Source organism: Homo sapiens, chromosome 17, assembly GCF_000001405.40.
Source record: "Homo sapiens chromosome 17, GRCh38.p14 Primary Assembly".
Taxonomy (NCBI): domain Eukaryota; kingdom Metazoa; phylum Chordata; class Mammalia; order Primates; family Hominidae; genus Homo; species Homo sapiens.
In genome coordinates this window covers 82,604,603-82,626,088 of record NC_000017.11, presented here as the reverse complement: position 1 = coordinate 82,626,088, position 21,486 = coordinate 82,604,603, and the positions used below count along the sequence as shown (strand labels likewise).

Below are 21,486 nucleotides of genomic sequence, written 5' to 3'. Positions count from 1 at the left end.
CAACCTAGTGAAACCCCATCTCTACTAAAAATACAAAAATTAGCTGGGCATGGTGGTGCACGCCTGTAATCCCACCTACTCAGGAGGCTGAGGCAGGAGAATCGCTTGAACTGGAGGTGGAGGTTGCAGTGAGCTGAGGTTGTGCCACTGCACTCCAGCCTGAGCGACAGAGTGAGACTCCATCTATAAAAAAAAAGTAATAATAATAATAATGCAAACGCTTGAGCCAGATCGAGGATATTCTACTTTCAGACTTTTCTTATTTTTTCCAGACACAGTAGCATAAAAATATCACTTCTGTCTGTTTTGCTCGGTTCTGAACCTAGATGGAGTGTTTGATGATGTCTCTCTGAACCTCAGAGACGTCTCTTAGGCTGACCTTCACCCAGGCGAGAAGCACTCCCTCAGCAGAGCCAGCCCACGTGCACTCGCCGAGCTCCAGGCCTGGCGCTGGCTACCTGCCTCCAGAGCTTTTTCTTCAGGAACACTCCTTTTCTGTGTGGTATTTTCAGTGTTTCTCAGTTTCAGTATGATAAGAACAGGAGCATAAAATGTTTGGGTTTGACTCTTGAGGAAAGCAACTCTGATCATGTTTTTCTTTCCAGAATTGTGGTGGTTTTGGACTCCATGATTAAGGTGTTCACATTCACACACAATCCCCATCAGTTGCACGTCTTCGAAACCTGCTATAACCCCAAAGGTGAGAGATTGAGCAGACGGGTGGCGATGGGAAATGGGTCCACATGGAGATGCCTGTGCTGGGCACTCCCTTCTCCAAGCAGGTCTCTGAGCAAAGTGCTTGGCGAGAGCAATCCTGAGCACAGAGGGGCCTCCAGAGGAGATGGACCTTCCAGGACCCACAGCTCAGCATCCCCAAACTACCTTCTGACCAGAGTCACAGAGTGGGGGCCCCTGTCCCCTCCCACCCAGTGACTATGGGCTCTCAGAACCTCCACAGTGAACCAGGAACCTATGTTTTCACCACTTCGGGAGCCACTGAGTTCTGGACTCAAGCCTTTCCTTCCCTTGTCTTCTGAATTGGAGGATTGATTGTGTTTGACTTTGTCATTTATTGTACCATCTTCATATCTTTTTATATTGGGGGTTTTGCCTCTGGCTTTGTTAGGGTAAAATTTACAAAAAACTGACTCGTTTTAAGAATACCATTTGTGGCCGGGCGCGGTGGCTCACTCCTGTAATCCCAGCACTTTGGGAGGCCGAGGCGGGCGGATCACAAGGTCAGGAGATTAAGACCATCCTGGCTAACACGGTGAAACCCTGTCTCTACTAAAAATACAAAAAATTAGCCGGGCGTGGTGGCGGGCACCTGTAGTCCCAGCTACTTGGGAGGCTGAGGCAGGAGAATCACTTGAACCCAGGAGGTAGAGGTCGCAGTGAGCCGAGATCACACCATTGCACTCCAGCCTGGGCGATAGAGCAAGACTCTATCTCAAAAAAAAAAAACTTCAATAAATTTCCGTCATTGTAAACAGTTGTGTAGCCACCGTCACAGTCAAGACAGAACAGTCGGCCGGGCGCAGTGGCTCACGCCTGTAATCCCAGCACTTTAGGAGGCCAAGGCGGGCGGATCACGAGGTCAGGAGATAGAGAGCATCCTGGTCAACGTGGTGAAACCTCATCTCTACTAAACATACAAAACTTAGCTGGATGTGGTGGCGGGTGCCCATAGTCCCAGCTACTTGGGAGGCTGAGGCAGGAGAATTGCTTGAACCCGGGAGGCGGAGCTTGCGGTGAGCCGAGATTGTGCCACTGCACTCCCGCCTGGGCGACAGAGTGAGACTAAAGAAAAAAAGAACAGTCTCTTCTCCTGGAAAACTTTCTTGGGACAGTCCCCTCCCCACTCAACCCTCAGGTTTTGTTTTTTTACATGTATTTGTCCTCTGTGTGTGTGTATGTGTGTTACTTTGTTGGTCCCTTCGGCCGTGTTTTGGCTATTAGGAAGGAGGAGTGTCGTGCATGTTCCCATAGCAGCCTTTGTGTGGGTAGTTTCATGTCTCTTGGGTCGATCCTGAGGGTTCGACTGCCCGGTCACAACCATGTTGTGGTTGTGTCTGACTATAAAATGCGGCCGTTTATTTTCCAGAGTGGCTGTGTCCCCTTGCGTCTCATCCATGATTTATGAGTGTTCCAGCATTGTCGGTCTTTCTAGCTGTAGCCGTTCCGTGCGTGTGTGATGATATCTCACTGGTAACGGCATCTCCTTGTGGTTTTGGTTTGCATTTCTCTGAGGACTGGCGGTGGCGACATCTTTCCCTGTGGTTCTTCCCTTTCGAGATCTTTTGGGAAGTGCCCCAGATGTTTTGCCCATTTTTTAGCCGGTTGTTTATCTTATAATGAGATGTAAGAATTTTTTTTTTTTTTTTTTAATATGAGATGGGGTCTTCCTCTGTTGCCCAAGCTGGAGTGCAGTGGCATGATCTCGGCTCACTGCAGCCTCTGCCTCCCAGGTTCAAGCAGTTCTCCCACCTCAGCCTCCTGAGTAGCTGGGACTACAGGCACACCACCATGCCTGGCTAATTTTTGTATTTTTAGTAGAGACGGGGTTTTACCATGTTGGCCAGGCTGGTCTTGATCTCCTGACCTCGTGATCCACCTGCCTCGGCCTCCCAAAGTGCTGGGATTACAGGCGTGAGCCACCGCGCCCAGCCCCATTTTTTTTGTTTGTTTTTTTTTTTTTTTTGGAGATAGAGTCTCGCTCTGTTGCCCAGGCTGGAGTGCAGTGGTGCGATCTCAGCTTACTGCAACCTCCGCCTCCTGGGTTCAAGCGATTCTCCTGCCTCAGTCCCCCAAGTAGCTGGGATTACAGGCACCCGCCACCACGCCTGGATAATTTCTGTATTTTTAGTAGAGACGGGGTTTCATTATGTTGGCTGGTCTCAAACTCCTGACCTCAGGTGATCCGCCTTCCTTGGCCTCCCAAAGTGCTGGGATTACAGGCGTGAGCCACTGTGCCCGGCCGTAAGAATTCTTTATATGTTGTAGATTTAGCCTTTTCCCTGGCACACTTTTGCAAGTATTGCTAAAAGATTTCTTTTATGTTTTCTTCTACACATTTGGTAGCTTTTCATCTAAAGTTAAATCTTCGATCCATTTCAAGTACATTTTGTATTCAGAGTGAGGCACACGCCTGGGTTCCTTTCTGTTCTATGTGGATATCTAAGCTTGGTACCTTTGTTTTGATTAAATAAATACAAGGTTTTTTTTCTGGACTTTTTGTTCTCTTCCATTGATCTGTGTTTCTGTCTTTATCCCAGTACCATCCTGCCTTGATAAGAGGTTTAAAGTAAATCTGAAATTAGGTAATATAAGTCTTGCAATCTTCTTACTTTACAAAAAAAAAAAAAATTTTTGGTCATGCCTGTAATCGCAGCACTGTGGGAGGCCAAGGCAGGTGGATCACAAGGTCAGGAGATTGAGACCATCCTGGCTAATATGGTGAAATCCCATCTCTACTAAAAATACAAAAAATTAGCTGGACATGGTGGCAGGTGGCTGTAGTCCCAGCTACTCGGGAGGCTGAGGCAGGAGAACGGCGTGAACCTGGGAGGCGGAGCTTGCAGTGAGCCGAGATCACGCCACTGTACACTCCAGCCTGGGTGACAGGGCCAGGCTCCGTCTCAAAAAAATAAAAAATTTGGGCTGTTCCAGTGCCTTTATTTTTCCTTATAATTCTTAGTATCAGCTTGTCTTTCTTCAAGAACCCTTTCTGAGAGGTTAGCTGTGATCACACTGACTGTAGATGAGTTAGATAGTAATAGCCAATCTTCCAGCCCACGATCACAAGACCAGCTCTCTCTCAGATCTTCTGTGGTCTTCCTTTGCAAGATGTTACAGTCCATGGATAGGTCTTGTACATCTGTTAACTTATTCCTCCGTTTTTTAATATTTTTACGCTGTTGCTGATGGAGCAGCTTTTAAATTTTATAATTTTGCATTGCATTTTCGGTGGCGTGTACCCTGACGGACGGACAGTTGGTAAAGTCGTTAATTTTGCATTGCATTTTCGGTAGCGCGTACCATGATGGATGGACAGTTGGTAAAGTTGTTCAGCAGATGTCTTGATTATGAGGAGGTCTCATGCGAGGTAGCTTTGCTTAGCCCTCTCATACTCTTTATTTACAATGAAAAATCTTTAAATTGAATTTGTGGTTCTGATATTTATAAATGATATACATCTATTTTTTCGGAGAACTTTGGGGGCAGAAAGTGGACTTTGGCTGTGAGAAATCAAAGGCAGTTCTTGATTGGTGTCCTCTGTCTCCACGCAGGCCTCTGTGTCCTTTGTCCCAATAGTAACAACTCCCTCCTGGCCTTTCCGGGCACGCACACGGGCCATGTGCAGCTTGTGGACCTGGCCAGCACGGAGAAGCCACCCGTGGACATTCCTGCACACGAGGGTGTCCTGAGCTGCATTGCACTCAACCTGCAGGGAACAAGAATTGCAACTGCATCCGAGAAAGTAAGTGTGCCACTCACCTTGTTGGTGTTGTGCCTCCTGGAGCAGCAGGCTCAGCAAAATGGCCATTCCCTGTATCAAGACTCAAAAGGCAGTGGGCCTGCCCCAACCTGGAGCCCCTCAGGGGCCTGTGGACCTGGCTGGTCATGTCATCAGACAGGTTGAAGTCTTCACAGGTCGTCTTGTGCCCAGGGACTGGTTTTATTTCTAATTATTTACAAAGCAGTGTCTTGTAAAATATGATAAGCCAAAGAAACAGGGCCAGGGGCAGTGGCTAAACCTGTAATCCCAGCAATTTGGGAGGCCAAGGCAGGCGGATCACTTGAGGTCAGATGTTCGAAACCAGCCTGGCCAAGATGGTGAAACCCCGTCTCTACTAAAAATACAAAAATTAGCCAGGCATGGTGGTGTGTACCTGTAATCCCAGCTACTCGGAAGGCTAAGGCAGGAGAATCACTTGAACCCAGGAGGTGGAGATTGCAGTGAGCTGAGATCATGCCACTACACTGCAGCCCGGGTGACAGAGTGAGACTCCGTCTCAAAAAAAAAAAAAAAAAGAAACAAAAATACGTCCACATCCAAGTTGATTACAGTGATCAGATATGACAGCTTTGTCATATTCTCATAGATTTTGCAGAACCACTCAACTTCTGTGCTCCTGTCTTCACAGCCTGATAACACACAGCTCAAAACCCTTTTTTACCTGCTTAGTAACGTGTCTTCATTGAATTACCACCAGATTGTAACTGAAAATATTGACGTATTGGACACATTGTCCTTTGATTTGCGAGGTCAGAAGAACTGTTAATTTTTTAAAATAATTTTAAATCTGGGGTTCTTTATACTTCTTTTTGCCTGAATTCAGATTTTTACAAAGAAAATTGGTATCTTGTACTATAGTTTTCATTGAAGACTGCAAACCCGGTGTTACTTTGTAGGAAATTATAAATTGTTAAGGAGGTGAGACCGCAAGCCGGTGATGGTATCCGTTTGTGGGCACAGTGCACTGAGGTTCAGTGCGGCCCTGCTCCTACCCTTTCACGCGGTGCCAGTGCCAGGGTCACTCCTCAGCACGTGGGGACACGCGGTTTGGGGCGTGTCCCGCTCACTCCTGGGACTCAGCTGAGAACAGGTTTAGTTATTTCTAGGTAGTTTTTGTTTTGTTTTGTTTTGTTTTTTGAGATTGAGTTTTGCTCTGTCACCCAGGCTGGAGTGCAGTGGCGTGATCTCAGCTCACTGCCACCTCCGCCTCCTGGGTGCCAGCGATTCTCCTGCCTCCACCTCCCGAGTAGCTGGGTGACAGGCACCCACCGCCATGCCTGGCTAATGTTTGTATTTTTAGTAGAGACGAGGTTTCACCATGTTGGTCAGGCTGGCTTGGAACTCCCGACCTCAGGTGATCCACCCGCCTCAGCCTCCCAAAGTGCTGGGATTACAGGCGTGAGCCACCGCACCCAGCCCTTTAGGTAGTATTTTTTAGAATGGTATCATATTAGCAACAAAATAGATATAATTTTGTATGAATTAGAAATGCGGTTCCTCTGTATTTTTGGTACATTTTTTCTTACCCTTTTTATCTTTAGATTCTCCATCCCCACTCCCTGCAACTTTTCTTCTTTAGATAGAATCCCCGTTACAAATGTGGATGCTTCTCTGCTTCCTGCTTTCTTAGCCGCAGCGGTGCCCTCCGGGTTAGCCAGGTAGATGGGATTACGCAGAGCCTTGCAACATCTGTGACCCATCCCGTGCTGTCGGCAGTCACCCCGTGAGGCTGCTCCTGCCTTGTCCCCCACAAGCTGGCTCCTTACTGCACCCCCAGGAGTAGGGGCTGCTGGGTTGAAGGATATAAAGATTTTTTGTTGGATGTTGTCAGAGTGTTTGACAAAAGATGCAGCAGTTCTCGTTTTCCCAGCTGTCAGAATCAGCTGAAGAGTCCTCCTCGTTCTGGAGGAGATGTTAAAAACTTCCCTGAGGTCTTGGGCACCTCTTTCTTGGGAAAGCCAGCATAGCTGACATGGATGGGTTTAAGTCCTTTTATTTTTTTTTTTTTGCCTCACCTTTTTGATGGCCGGATTCCCGTGCTGCTTTTCCTAGCTATCTGAGGGACTTAGGATTCGGACAGTGCTTCTCAGATGAGCTCCCTGTGTAGCAGGAGCAGGGAGCCTGGGCCTGGGTGTTCCTCCTGGGTCTCAGCCAGGGATGCGGGCATCCAGGGTCAGTCCACCCTGCCCGGTCAGGAGGTTGTCTCTGGAAGCCTCTCTTGACTTGTGCCCAGTGCCGTGGGACCAGGAGCCACCAACCAACTCGTTCTCAGGGGCACAACTGTGTGCTGGCAGTTGGAGGAGAAAGTTAAGTAGTAGATGATGTGGGTGAGTTTGAGAAAGGCTTGTGTGGACTAATGGATTTGTGAATGTGAGTCATTTCAAAAACTAACGAAAAAGTTTTGAATCTTTGATAATGAAACACTTCACTGTTTTTCAAAGGGGACGCTTATAAGAATATTTGATACTTCATCAGGGCATTTAATCCAGGAACTGCGAAGAGGATCTCAAGCAGCCAATATTTACTGGTAAGGGCACCTCCAACTTCACCGGAGAAGAACTTCGGGCTGACAGCACGGAAGTGGGCCTTTGGGATTTGGGAGAGGGGGTAGGAGCAGCCACCCTCCCCCGAATAAGGCCAGAGGAGGGAGAAGCTTGGGCTGCTAGGGGGTTGGGTTTCAGCTTTTTAAATTGTGATTAACTTTAAGTTTTTATCGTGGGAAATTACACAGAAGTAGAAAGAATGTCATAATTAACCCTGCTTCAGCATTTATTAGTATTTGATGGTTTTTGTTGTTGGTGGGTTTTTTTTGTTGTTTTTTTGGGGTTTTTATTTTGAGGGAAGGTCTTGCTCTGTCGCCCAGGCTGGAGTGCAGTGACGCTATCACAGCTCACTACAGCCTCGACCTGGGCCCAAGCGATTCTCCTGCCTCAGCCTCCTGAGCAGCTGGGACCACAGTTGTGCACCACCACGCCCGGCTAATTGTTGTGTTTTTGTAGAGGGGTCTCGCTGCTGCCCTGGCTGGCGGGCTTGGGTTCATCCCTGTTTATTTTTAGTCTTTCTGGTGTTTTTGCCAGTTTCATCTCGTCACCAGCGCTCTGGCTTGTGTTTAAGGCAATGCTGGAGACCATGTTGGTTTGTCTGATTCCAGCCTGTTACAGTCTGAGAGGCCACACTGCCGCCCCACAGTGGTGTCCCTACAGCCCCCCGGGTGTCTAGTGCTGAAGCCCTACTTGGGTAGCATCTCATGCCCTGTGGCCACGGCCAGGAGGCCTGGTGCCTCCCCCTTGGCTAGTATTGAGCAGCATTTGGGTCTTTGAGATGAAAATGTAATTAATATAGCCGGGCGCAGTGGCTCCCGCCTGTAATCCCAGCATTTTGGGAGGCTGAGGCAGGTGGATCACCTGAGGTCAGGAGTTCGAGACCAGCCTGGCCAGCATGGCGAAACCCCATCTCTACTAAAAATACAAAAATTAGCTGGGCGTGGTGGCGTGTGCCTGTAATCCCAGCTACTAGGCAGGGCTGAGGCAGGAGGATCGCTTGAACCTGGGAGGTGGAGGTTGCAGTGAGCCAAGGTCGTGCTACTGCGCTCTATCCTGGGCAAGAGAGCGAGACTCTGTCTCAAAAAAAAAAAAAAGAAAGAAAATGTAATTAATTTATAAATACGGCAGCTTTATCTGTGAGGTCCTGGGCCTTGTGGTGTGCATAGCACATCCCTGTCTGCTCCTAGAACAGACAGCACACGGCCAATGCCTGCCCCAGCCCAGCTGACCTCCATAGGGGCAGCCTGCACCTTCCTGAGGCCAGGATCATTGGAGAGAATGTGTGTTTCTCACCCGAGTCTTGTGAGAGCAGCCCTGAGCGGCATGTTGGGGGTGTGGTCTGCAAGAAGTCCCTTCCCTCTCCCAGACACACAGCTCATCAGCTGCATTTGTGGGGCACCCAAGGAAAACTTGCCGTGATACACTGGATTGTGGCTGTGGCTTTGTGGCTTCAACCTGTGGTGCTGTGGGGATGGTTGTCGGCTTGTTAAAGAAAGGGCAGTATTCAGAATTGGCACCTCCAGAGTGGGAATGTTGAGGTGTTCCACAGTGTCGACAAGTGCTGTGGGTTAAGTCTCTGGACTCCTCCACATCCACACAAGGCCTGAGCTGTGCTGGTTTTCTCTGCAGCATCAACTTCAATCAGGATGCGTCCCTCATCTGCGTATCCAGCGACCACGGCACAGTGCATATTTTTGCAGCTGAAGATCCAAAAAGGAATAAACAGTCCAGGTAGGTGTTAGGATGCCTGCTGGGGAAAAGCCGGGGGATGAGAGGAGTCCCCAGTGTTTCAGTGTGGACGGGACAGGCCCCCCACCCCAGCAGGGTGGTGTGGACAGACCTCATATGCTATCAGCGCTGAAATCTTTTTCATTTAATTTTATATTTGTTGGGGTTTAAAAATCAGTGCAGGCTGGGCACAGTGGCTCATGCCTGTAATCCCAGCACTTTGGGAGGCCGAGGTGGGCAGATCACCTGAGGTCAGGAGTTCGAGACCATCCTGGCTAACATGGTGAAACCCCATCTCTACTAAAAAACAAAAACTAGCCGGGCGTGGTGGCGGGTGCCTGTAGTCCCAGCTACTCGGGAGGCTGAGGCAGGAGAATCGCTTGAAGCCGGGAGGTGGAGGCTGCAGTGAGCCGAGATTGCGCCCCTGCACTCCAGCCTGGGCTACAGAGCGAGACTCCGTCTCAAAAAAAAAAATTTTTTTTTTAAATAAAATTGTACAACAGGCTTTGTCATGCATGGCAAAAAAAAAATTCATTAAAGCTCAAACCATATGAAGGAGCATTTTCGTATTTTCAGCAGCGTATTCTGAGCTTACGCAGGTGATTTTTTTTCCTGTAAACTTTGAACCACCCTTTCTTTTCTTGTCTTCACAGTTTGGCCTCAGCCAGTTTCCTTCCAAAATACTTCAGTTCCAAGTGGAGTTTCTCCAAGTTTCAGGTTCCCTCAGGCTCTCCGTGCATTTGTGCCTTTGGAACAGAGCCAAACGCCGTCATTGGTGAGTGGTCCTTCCTGGAGAGAACGTCCCCACCCGCCCCACCTGGGCTCCATCCACTGAGCGTCAGACCTAACTTCCCATGGACGTCCCAGCACCGCGCTGTGGCACCGATGGCCGCCCAGTTCCCCTTATTTCTCCTGTGGGCTCAGTGTGTCCCGCTTACGGTCTGCACGGCCATTTGGGATGTCTTCAGCCCCCATCCCTCCAGTTTCCCCCAGGAAATCACAGGGACAGGTCTTCCAATGTTTGTATAGATGACCAAGAATGTTTCTTAACCCTGTAGCCAACACCGGGTGATTAGATGCTCACACCAAGACAGTCAGGATTCCCGGCCACGGTGCCGACCGAACGCATTCAGTGGGGACCCTGGGGCCTTTCAGGGCTTTCAGAGCAGCTGCCTGGCTCCAAGAGGCCCTTTGCAGTTCAGCTCAGTGGGACTCGTTGCTTTTAACTTGAGGGAAAGAAACACACAGGTAAAATGGTCTCCTTCTATCCCAGCAATTTGTGCAGACGGCAGCTACTACAAATTCCTGTTCAACCCCAAGGGGGAGTGCATCCGAGATGTCTACGCGCAGTTTCTAGAGATGACCGATGACAAGCTGTGACTCCAGCTGGGGGCGCCACAGCACCCACCACCTGCCGCCTTCAGACTCTCGGGGCTGGTGCCAGTGCCCCAGGGGCCTCCTGGGCCACGGGCTGGAGGGGCTGCCCAGGGACCTTGGTCTCGAAGCCATACGTGGTTGTCTGCTTTCCTAAGGACTCCCATTTCCAGTATTAAAGAGAGAATCATCATCAAGGCACCGTAGGTAACTCAGTGGCTGTGACCAGCTCGACTGGCGGCCACTGGCTGTTCCCATGAGTTCAGCTGTGACGTTAGCTTCAGTGGCTCCGCCGCATCCTCACACTGACGGGGGCTCCATACGGACCTGGGGACTGGGCTGAGAGGGTGGACGAGTTCAGGTTTGTTTTTGCAGCAGATTCCGTCGTTCTTACTGAGTCTGCAGCGGGGGAGTGAACAAGTGTGCAGATGTAAGTTCTTACATGATAAGCAGATTGAATACAACACCAGCAGCTTGCCTTAGAAAAGGAGAAAGGAATTCCTTTTCCCGCCCGAACATGAAGAAAAATGACCTGACCCTGTAGAGAGAACACAGTGTGAATGTTTCCCCTCGTGTGAGCCCAGCCTGTGGTCTTCTCCGTACCCGCAACGTGGTCATCTGTGCCCGTGACGTCACCTGTGCCCGTGCGTGGCGTCCCCGTCTCCGTTGGGGCCATTAGAATGAGGCAGACACCAGGCCACTCTAGAAGCCGAGCCGTCACACCTCAGGCGTGTGCGGGGCGGGGACGGGGGGTCTCCTGGTTACATTTTGGATTAAACCTGTTTCCCGGTTATGTGTAGGGAACAGCAGAGTGATGCACGAACTTTGAACATTCGTTATGGGGAAAACATCCTTTAACTTCGGGGTCGTCTGCCAGAGCAGGGTCTGGGAGGGTCCATGCAGTTCCCGCTGGTGTGGAGGGAAATGCCCTGGTCTGGCCTCCGAGCCCCCAGGTCCACCGTCTCCCCTCCCCTCATTTGTAAGAATAGCTACACACTAACATTTTGGGAAGGAGAGGCACATAACTTTTTTTAACATTTGGTAACTAGGTTATGGGCTCTACATTGTCAGCTACTTGGGATATATATTTAATTTTCTTAAATTCCCGTTAAACTCTATTTTATGGTTTTGATTTCAGATTGCAAACATGTAAAACCTGCATAGCAGCGAGTTCTCGGTTTTGCCGGTTTCTTTAGTTCTTTACTGTCACTGTCATGTAATCAGCTAATTCTCTGTGGATGTTGCTGTAAAGTATGCATGTTCCTTTCATGTGTATTTAATCATGATGTTTAATTTTGCACACTTATTTGTAATGTTTCTTTTAAATAAAAGTGACTAATTTTGTTGTAGTCTGGACCTGTAATGGGAAGTAGAATTGTGTGTTATGAAGCCAAACACTCTTCCCCTTGCTGTGAGAATCTGGTTGGAGTGTAGGCTTCAGAACAGCCTGTGGGCCTGAAGAGGCGCCGGCCTGTGACAGGACAAGGTGGAAGCCAGGGTCACTGGGTGCGGAGCCTGGAGCTTCACTCCCTGTGTCGGGACAGGACAGCCTGCCCTCCTCATTCCCTGTGTCGGGACAGGACAGCCTGCCCTCCTCACTCCCTGTGTCGGGACGGGGCGGCCTGCCCTCCTCACTCCCTGTGGCGGGACGGGGCGGCCTGCCCTCCTCACTCCCTGTGGCGGGACGGGGCGGCCTGCCCTCCTCACTCCCTGTGGCGGGACGGGGCGGCCTGCCCTCCTCTCTCCCTGTGTCGGGGATGGGACGGCCTGCCCTCCTCTCTCCCTGTGTCGGGACGGGGCGGCCTGCCCTCCTCTCTCCCTGTGCCCCAAGGGCACCTCTGGAGGAGGGAGGGAGGAAATGCATCTGTAGGAGGCCTGTGTGGCTCTGGGAGGTCTGAGGCTCCTGCTGGCCTGTGGAGGTGGAGGGTGGCTGGCAGCAGCAATGTCCCTGCATGTTGAAGTGGCAGCTTCAAGTGAGCCGGCGTCACCCTGGCTTGTCTAACACTTGAGATCTGACTCTGGGTGGGGGAGTAGGAGCGTAATTACCAGTTGATAAACATGAATCTGGGGGAAATGCATGCAAGAAGGGTGGGTTTTCTCGCAGTGCACGTGAACAGCCTCAGAACTGATGCGGACGGCGGGGCTGTGTCACAGGCCCGTTCACCAGGAACGTGGCGAGGGCCTGCACGGACGTGCCTCATGTGAGGCCCTGGCGGCACCGGCCCTCCCCAGGCATGTGCTTTTTAAAAATCACTGTAGAGCGGCAAGGACACGGTGTCCCTAGGCCGGCGGACTCGGGAGCGCAGCTGCTTTTCAAGTGGAACTGATGGGAAGCGCAGTGTATGGGAAACAAGGCCGGGCTGCTGCCTCCCCCACGAACCTCCTGTGCCCCGGACGTGGGTGCGAAGGGACTCCAGAGTGACTGCCTCAGACGGTGCCTACTCAGCAGCTTTCCTGTCTGATCGTACAGGTGCGTGGGCATGGATGACTCCGGCTGCGTTTCTGGTCTGTCCTCCCTCCCCTGTGGCCCTGGGATGTCTTGCGGGGACAGGCGGCTTGTGCCCTGTGGAACGCAGCCCTGACCCATACCCACCCTGTGTTTGGCGTTGATGCCTGTGTGAACCCCTGGCCACCTCCCGCTCCCACCACTGTAGTCGGGGGCGCTGGCCATCTGCAGCCTTCTGTGATCAAAGAGTTTTATATTTGTGTTTTCTTTCTGCAACCAAACCAAGCCCCTGAATGCCAGAGCTCTTTCACGTGACTTAGTCCTCATCTCTCTTCTGTTGTGTCAGAGGCATTTGGTTGATGACATTGTTGAAACTTGTACCAAAATTTTTCTCTTCCAGATGGATCAGAGAATACAATGAAAAAAAAGTTCCTTATAAAATAATAGAAAAATATAAATTTGTAAGCAAAATTGCCCCGTGTTTCTACCTCCAGAGAAGATCACTCTCAGACAACCCCACACCTGAACGTAACATCTATTTTTATTTAAAAAATTGTTTTGGTAGAGACGGGGTTTCTCCTCCACCTCCTGGGCTCAAGCGATCTTCCCACCTTGGCCTCCCAAAGTGCTCGGATTACAGCCACCACGCCTGGCCGCCTTTTTTATTTCAGATACATTTGTCAGTTCTAAAGTTGGTTTCTAATTCGTGGCTGATGACTTGTGTCTGCCCATTTGTACGCGCTCTGTGCGCTTTCAAGTCCTTGTCTGCCGATTCCAGCATCTGGGTCTTCTTGGAGGATGCCTCCTGATTTTCCTTTATTGAGTGGGGACTTGGGGGTGACCCTGCCTGCCGCTAGGAATGGCTGTTGAATTTTGTTAAGTGACTTTTCTGCATCTGTTGTGATGATCACACCTATCTTTTACGCCGTGAACGTGGAGCATCACGTTGATTTTTGAATGTTGAGCCAACCTTGCTGTCCTGTGGGAAAGCCCACTTGGTCACAGTGTGTTATCCTTAAATACTGCTGAATTCGCCAGGCGCGGTGGCTCACGCCTGTAATCCCAGCACTTTGGGAGCCTGAGGTGGGTGGATCACCTGAGGTCAGGAGCTCGAGACCAGCCTGGCCAACATGGTGAAACCCTGTCTCTACTAAAAATACAAAAATTAACCAGGCGTGGTGGCGCGTGCCTGTAGTCCCAGCTACTTGGGAGCGTGAGGCAGGAGAATCAGTTGAACCGGGCAGATGGAGGCTGCAGTGAGCCGAGATCGCAGCACTGCACGCCTGCCTGGGTGACAGAGACTCTATCTCAGGAAAAAAAAAAAAGAATTCTACTAATACTTGGGGATTTTTTTTTTTTTTGGATGTATATGTATAGAGGATTCTTATTTCTAATTTAGCTTGTAATATTCTTGCCGCATTCTGGAATTTCGTATCAGGTTAGTGATTTTGTGGTTTTGGCATTAATTTTAAAATGATTTGTCTTACGCAACATCCACCAAAATGTAGACATACAATGGGTTTTAACAAAAGCAAATGTAGACTTGAGACTGAGGTGGCATCTAGTGAAATGTCATTTCTTTTGTAGCTCTGTTCAAGAGAGACGCCACCGTCTGTAGAGGCCGTGAATCCCCCGACATTTGCTCTGAGCCTCCCACAGACACCTGCGGCCCCATCTTGAGTTGTCCATGCTGGCTGCCAGCCAGAAGCCTGTCATCTGTGTAAGATGTTTCAGATGGTGAGTCTGACGACGCTTCTGGGGCATGCGAGCTGAGGGCTAATTATCTCCTAATCTCTCTCGGGTATGTGGAAAAAACAGGCAAGGATCTGGCCAGATACTGTGGAAAAGGGTGTCCTCCTGACCTTGATAGCAGAGTGTAACTCCAGAAAATCAGCATTTTTCTACCTCAGTTTCAGTATTTGCACAAGGGACTTGAACTTATGTCTCACATTATTTTTACCATTATCAGCATATACGACAGCTGCCTATCCTTTTTTTTTTTGAGACAGGGTCTCACTCCAGGCTGGAGTGTGGTGATGCAATCTCAGCTCACTGCAACCTCTGTCTCCTGGATTCACGTGATCCTCCCACCTCAGCCTCCTGAGTAGCCGGGACTACAGGCGTGCACCACCACGCCCGGCTAATTTTTGTTATTGTTTTGTAGAGACGGTGTCTGTGTTCTCCAGGCTGGTCTTGAACACCTGGCCTGAAGCAGTCCTCCCACCTCAGCCTCCCAAAGTATTGGGATTACAGGTGTGAGCCACCGTGCCCAGCCGTGCTTCTTTTTTTCTTTTTTTTTTTGGCTCTGTCACCCAGGCTGGAGTGCCGGGGTGCAATCAAGGCTCACTGCAGCCTCGCCCTCCTGGGCTCAAGTGATCCTTCTGCTCCAGTTTCCCAAATAGCTAGGACCATAGGCATGCACCACCATGCCTGGCTAATTTCTTTATGTTTTGTTTGTTTGTTTTTGAAACGGAGTTTCGCTTTGTCTCCCAGGCTGGAGTGCAGTGGCTCAACCTCGGCTCACTGCAACTTCCACCTCCCGGGTTCAAGAAATTCTCCTGCCTCCACCTCTCAAGTAGCTGGGATTACAGGTGTGCACCACCACGCCCGGCTAATTTTTTGTATTTTTAGAAGAGATGGGGTTTCACCATGTTGGCCAGGCTGGTCCCAAACTCCTGACCTCAGGTGATCCGCCTGCCTCTGCCTCCCAAAGTGCTGGGATTACAGGTGTGGGCTACTGCACTCAGCCTACCTAGCTAATTCTTAATTTTATGATTTTGTTTTAGAGGTGGGGGTCACCCTGTGTTGTTGCCCAGTTTCGTCTCAAACTCCTGGGCGGAGCTGGGCATGGTGGCTCACGCCTGTAATGCCAGCACTTTGGGAAGCCGAGGTGGGCGGATGACCCGAGGTCAGGAGTTCGGGACTAGCCTGACCGACATGGAGAAACCCCGTCTCTACTAAAAAAATACAAAATGAGCCGGGCGTGGTGGTGCATGACTGCAATCCCAGCTACTTGGGAAGCTGAGGCAGGAGAAGTCGATCGAACCCAGGGGGCGCAGGTTGCAGTGAGCCGAGATTGCGCCATTGCACTCCAGCCTGGGCAACACGAGCGAAACTCCCATCTCAAAAAAAAAAACAAAAAAAACACAAAACACACACACAAAAAAAACTCCTGGGCGGAAGCGATCCTCCTGCCTTGCTCTCCCAAACTGTTACAGGCGGAGTCACCACGCCTGGCCTTAATTTCCTTTTTGATTGTTTATTGCTGGTGCATATAAATACAACTTATTTTTATCTTGATCTCGTACACTACCACACTGCTGAATTCATGTGTCAGGCTCTAGTAGGTTGAGTGTGTGTGTATTCTGTGGAAGTTTCTACACATAATCATTCCATCTGCAAGGAGAGTTTTCACCCCTTCCAATGTAGATGCCTGCGTTTCTTGGTCAATGGCTCTAGCTAAGACTTCCAGTACAGTGCTGACCAGCAGTAGTGAAGGCAGGTATTCTTGTTCCTGATCTGAAAGGAAAAGCTTTCAGTCTTTTACTGCTGAGTATGTATACGGTTAGCTCTGGGTCTCTTTGCATTTTTCCTGCTTGGATTTCGTTGAGCTTATTGGATGTGTAGATTCATGTCTTTATCAGATCAGGGAAGTTTTCATTGATTATTTCCTGAAGTGTGTCTTCTTCTCTTTCTCTGCTTCTGAAATTTCATAATGCTTATGTTGTTATGCTCGATGGTATCCCATAGGCCCCTTATTGTTCACTTTCCCTGCATTCTTCTTCTCTGCTGCTTAGACTGGGTAATTTCACTGACCTACCTTCAAGTTCACGGCTGCTTTCTGATGCCTGCTGAAATCCAAATTCCTTTAGTGAATTTCTTATGTTAGCTATTTTACTTTTCAGGCCTAGACTTTCTTTTTAGTCTCTTTTTATAATTTCTATTTTCTGCTATTTCCAAATGTTTCACACTGTTCATATTTCTTTCTTTTTGGGGCAGAGGGAGGGGCAGTGTCTGGCTCTACTGTTCAGGCTAAACTGCAGTGGTGTGATCACGGTGTACTGAGGCCTTAACTTCCCAGGTTCAAGCAATCTTCCCACCTGAACCTTCGGAGTAGCTGGGACCTCAGACACATGCCACCATGCCTAGCTGATTTTTTTTTTTTTTTGGTAGAGACAGAGTCCCACTATGTTGCCCAGCCTGGTCTTGAGCTCTTGGGCTCAAGCTGTCTCCCCATTTTAGCCTCCCAAAGTGCTGAGACTGTAGGCGTGAGCCACCACACCTGGCTTTGTTCTTATTTTACTTCTTTGTCCTGGTTCCCTTCAGCCCCTTGAGCATATTTAAGACAAAGTGTTTGTCTAGTAAGTCCAATTTCCAGGCTTCTTCAAGGATGGTTTCTGTCACTATGTCCCCTGCCCCAACCTCATGAATGGCTCATTGTTCTTATTCCTTTGTGTGTTTCGTTCTGTTCTGTTTTGAGACAGAGTTTCACTCTTGTCACCCAGGCTGGAGTGCAATGGCGAGGTCTCGGCTCACTGCAACCTCTGCCTCCTGGCTTCAAAGTGATTCTCCTGCCTCAGCCTCCTGAGTAGCTGGGATCACAGATGCGTGCCATCACACCTGGCTAGTTTTTGTATTTTTGGTAGAGATGGGGTTTCACCTTCTTGGCCAGGCTGGTCTTCAACTCCTGACCTCAGGTAATCCACCCACCTTGGCCTCCGAAAGTGCTGGGATTTCAGGCGTGAGCCACCACACCCAGCCTGTTTTCTATTTTTTTTTTTTTTTTTTTAATTAGAAGTGGCCAAGCATGGTGGCTCATGCTTGTAATCCCAGTACTTTGGGAGGCCAAGGCAGGAGAATAGCTTGAGTCCAGGAGTTCGAGACCATCCTGGGCAACATAGCAAGACCCGTCTCTACAAATAAAAAAAAGTTTTATTTTTTCCCCTCAATTTTGATTTCTTTTTTCAATTTTGTTGCCTGCTTGCTTTACATTTACTTTGTTGTTGTTGTTTTTGAGACGGAGTCTCGCTCTGTCACCCAGGCTGGAGTGCAGTGGTGCGATCTCAGCTCACTGCAAGCTACGCCTCCCGGGTTCACGCCATTCTCCTGCCTCAGCCTCCCAAGTAGCTGGGACTACAGGCACCCGCCACCACGCCCGGCTAATTTTTTGTATTTTTAGTAGAGACGGGGTTTCACCGTGTTAGCCAGGATGGTCTCGATCTCCTGACCTCGTGATCTGCCCACCTCGGCCTCCCCAAGTGCTGGGATTACGGGCGTGAGCCACTGCGCCCGGCCTCAGAATGCAATTTTTTTAATCTTTATTTTTGAATATTTGCAGTGTACTTTCCATTTCAGCATCCTTGTTTGTCTGTTTTTTGAGACAAGGTCTCACTCCCATTGCCCAAGCTGGAGTGTGGTGGTGCAGTCACGGCTCAGTCCAGTTTCAGCTTCCTGGGTTCAGGCGATCCTCCCGCCTGGGCCTCCTGAGTGGCTGGGACTACAGGTGCACACCACCACACTTGGTTTATTTTTAGTAGAGACAGGATTTTGCCAAGTTGCCTAGGCTGGTCTCCAACTCCTGGGCTCAAGTGAGCCTCCCACTTCGACCCCCCAAAGTGTTGGGATGAGACACTGTGCCCCGCCCTGCATTCCTAATTCAAAAATTTGAAGTCCAAAATGCTCCAATGAATATTTCCTTTGAGCATCGTGTCAACACTCAAAGTTTCGGATTTTAGATTACTGAGTTTTCAGATTAGGAATACTCAACCTGGATAAGTCAGTTTTCTTTGGCTGCTTTCCAGGTTAAAAAAAAAATGTCTTTTCTTTAGTTTATTGCCTCAACATGGTTTTCCTTGAGATGATCTTATTGGAATTCACTCACCTTCGTGAATCTTTAAAGTATTTATTAAAAAAAAAAAAAAAATATATATATATATATATACACACACACACATATATAGGCCAGGCGCGGTGGCTCACGCCTGTAATCACAGCACTTGGGGAGGCCGAGGCGGGCGGATCATGAGGTCAGGAGATCAAGACCATCCTGGCTAAGACGGTGAAACCCCGTCTCTACTAAAAATACAAAAAATTAGCCGGGCGTGGTGGTGGGTGCCTGTAGTCCCAGCTACTCCGGAGGCTGAGGCAGGAGAATCGCTTGAACCTGGGAGGCAGAGCTTGCAGTGAGCCGAGATCGTGCCACTGCACTCCAGCCTGGGCAACAGAGCGAGACTCCGTCTCAAAAAAATAAATAAATAAAAATAAATTAAAAAAATATATATATATGTATTTTTTTTTTTAAATGAGACAGTCTCGCTGTCGCCCAGGCTGGAGTGCAGTGGCGCAATCTGCGCTCACTGCAACCTCCGCCTCCTGGGCTCAAGCGATTCTCCTGCCTCAGTCTCCCGAGTAGCTGAGATTACAGGTGTGTGCCACCATGCCCGGCTAATTTTTGTATTTTTAGTAGAGATGCGGTTTCACCATGTAGGCCGGGCTGGTCTTGATCTCCTGACCTCGTGATCCACCCACCTCGGCCGCCCAAAGTGCTGGGATTACAGTCATGAGCCACCGCGCCCACCCGGACTAAAATATTTCTTTAAAAAAAATTGTATACGTTGTTTCTCTGTTTTATAGGAATCTAGTGACATACACAGTAGACCCTTCAATCTTGTCCTACAAGTCCCAGTTCATTTTTGTTTCCAAATGTTTTTCTGTTTATTCACTGAATTTTTTCATTTCTTTGATTCAAGAGCATTTGCCCTTATTTCACAGAGCATGGTTATAATAACTGTTCTTTATCTGATATTCCCAATATTTGGGTCATGTGAGAGTTGGCATTCGGTCTTTTCACTTTAGGGCAGAGATTTTTCTGGCTCTTTTTACGTTTAGTAATTTTGTATTCTAGACATTCGGCATACCTTGAGACTCCCAAGTCCATGAAACCCTCTGCAGGATGCTGAGTTGTGTCTCAGCAGGCAAGTAACCCAGTTATGTTCTGATTGCATGTGCCAGCCTGCCTCCTGGAGCTGTGACTCTGGTGTCAGGCTAGTCTTCCAAGTCTGTGTCGTGCTGTTCACCCAGGGGCCAGTCTACACAGGAGTTGAGCTCAAATAGCCTTTGCTGTTTTCCCCACGTCAGTGCCATTCATGTGGAGCTTTAGGGGGTCTCTTAACTCCTCTGCTGTGTCCTTTGACTTAAAAGCCCAGGTTTCAGCCTCTCTGTGCTGTTCCCATTCCTATGACTAGGTCCAGCTTGGGGCCAAAGTGGAGCAGGGATTTCCCTCATGCTCTTTGGACTACAGGGGCCTGTTTTCCAATTCCTCTCGTCAGCGTGAAGGGTTCTGTGGGAGTCGCCAGCGTGAAGGGCTCTGTGGGAGTCGCCAGTGTCTGCAGGGCTGCTGCTTGCAGGAGTTTCCCACGACCGTCTCTGCCCAGGATGAGAGGGAAGCGGGCTTCTCTTGGAGATTTTAATGTTCATCCCTAATGTGCAGTTCGGATAGACCGCCCCCGACTAGGCCCAGCAACGGACTAGGCTCAGCAATGGGAGGGGAAAACCCAGGAAAAACCCATCACACCGGTCCTTGTTCTGGCTCTAGTCTGCCTGCTGTTCTGTATTATATACGACTGACTTTCCATAGGACTGAGATAGTTGCTCTGTTTGTTAGGTCCACAGTTAGTCATAACCCCTAGGAGACACAGGTGGAGGAGTCCACTGGAATCTTTGTAGCCAGTTTAGTCATCAGAGGTCACTTGAGACCCACTCTGAATTGTAATTTTGTGTTGCTGTGGACATAGCTCAGAAAGGGGGCAACAAACAGTGACAATTTCCCAGCACCCATCAACGCAGCCCGGGTGCACTGCAGACGCAGACCTGGCAGAAACAAATTACAAATGACTGCTTCACTTTGCTGGAAGAGGCAGTCTCGCAGGGCGTGATAAACAGTTCTTTTATGCCAGTATGAACTGTTTTAAATTAGGGGATCAGTGTAAGGAATAAAACAAACACTCCGTTATGAACTCTCTGTCCGTGAACATCATTTAGCTCCCAAAGGCCTCTGTGTCATTTTCAGCACGGTTTCTTCCCTCTGCTACCCTGGGGTGAGTACTGATAATGTCATCACGATTCCAGACATTAGCGATCCACACCAGATTTTCAGGGCCTGAAGATCAAAGTGTTCCTGTGTGGGAACTTGAATACCCAAGTACCTCTTCAGAAGAGCTGCTTTTTCTTTTTTTCTGAGACGGAGTCTCGCTCTGCCGCCCAGGCTGGAGTGCAGTGGCGCAATCTCGGCTCACTGCAAACTCCACCTCCCAGGTTCACGCCATTCTCCTGCCTCAGCCTCCCGAGTAGCTGGGACTACAAGCGCCCGCCACTGCGCCCGGCTAATTTTTTTTGTATTTTTAGTAGAGATGGGATTTCACCATGTTAGCCAGGATGTTCTCAATCTCCTGACCTCATGATCTGCCCGTCTCGGCCTCCCAAAGTGCTGGGATGACAGGCATGAGCCACCGCGCCGGCCAAGAGCTGCTTTTTCATTTTCTGAGAAAATGTCCCTCAAGATGCTTTGCAGTGATCTTCATTCTCAGGTTGGAGAGAAAGTCTGCAGAAGAAATAGTGGCAGCCACAATCTCCAAGTAACTTTAAAACTCCGACATCATAGATCAATCAATCAAGACCCTGTTACCACTGCCTGTGACACGGCGCCTTTTCTACCTGCACGCTCAACCCGCTGTCCCACTGGCAGGGCCTGCAGTGCTGGTCCTCAGTGCAGCTCCCTGGTTAAGTTCTTGCCAATGCGCTAGGCCTCCGGTGTGCTCAGAAGAGAGCATGAAGTAAAAAGTCAGTCAATCAAAATGAAAATGATACTCTGCATTCCA

At 49.3% G+C, this 21,486-nt stretch overlaps 1 protein-coding gene across 5 annotated transcripts in view; it reads left to right on the top strand.

Annotated features, from left to right (window-relative positions):
- WDR45B (WD repeat domain 45B) overlaps positions 1–11,527 on the top strand; it is a 33,883-nt gene extending 22,356 nt beyond the window's left edge. For 3 of the 5 annotated variants that reach the window (XM_005256377.6, NM_019613.4, XM_047436412.1), the window contains 6 exons: positions 606–700; positions 4,290–4,480; positions 6,961–7,046; positions 8,692–8,793; positions 9,444–9,565; positions 10,064–11,527. In XM_005256377.6, coding sequence (XP_005256434.1) covers positions 606–700; positions 4,290–4,480; positions 6,961–7,046; positions 8,692–8,793; positions 9,444–9,565; positions 10,064–10,170 — 703 coding nt within the window. In that variant the 3' untranslated portion in view covers positions 10,171–11,527. Of the gene's footprint in view, positions 1–326; positions 503–605; positions 701–4,289; positions 4,481–6,960; positions 7,047–8,691; positions 8,794–9,443; positions 9,566–10,063 lie in introns of those variants that run through there. The other 2 variants (XM_047436413.1, XM_047436414.1) reach the window with 2 other exon arrangements.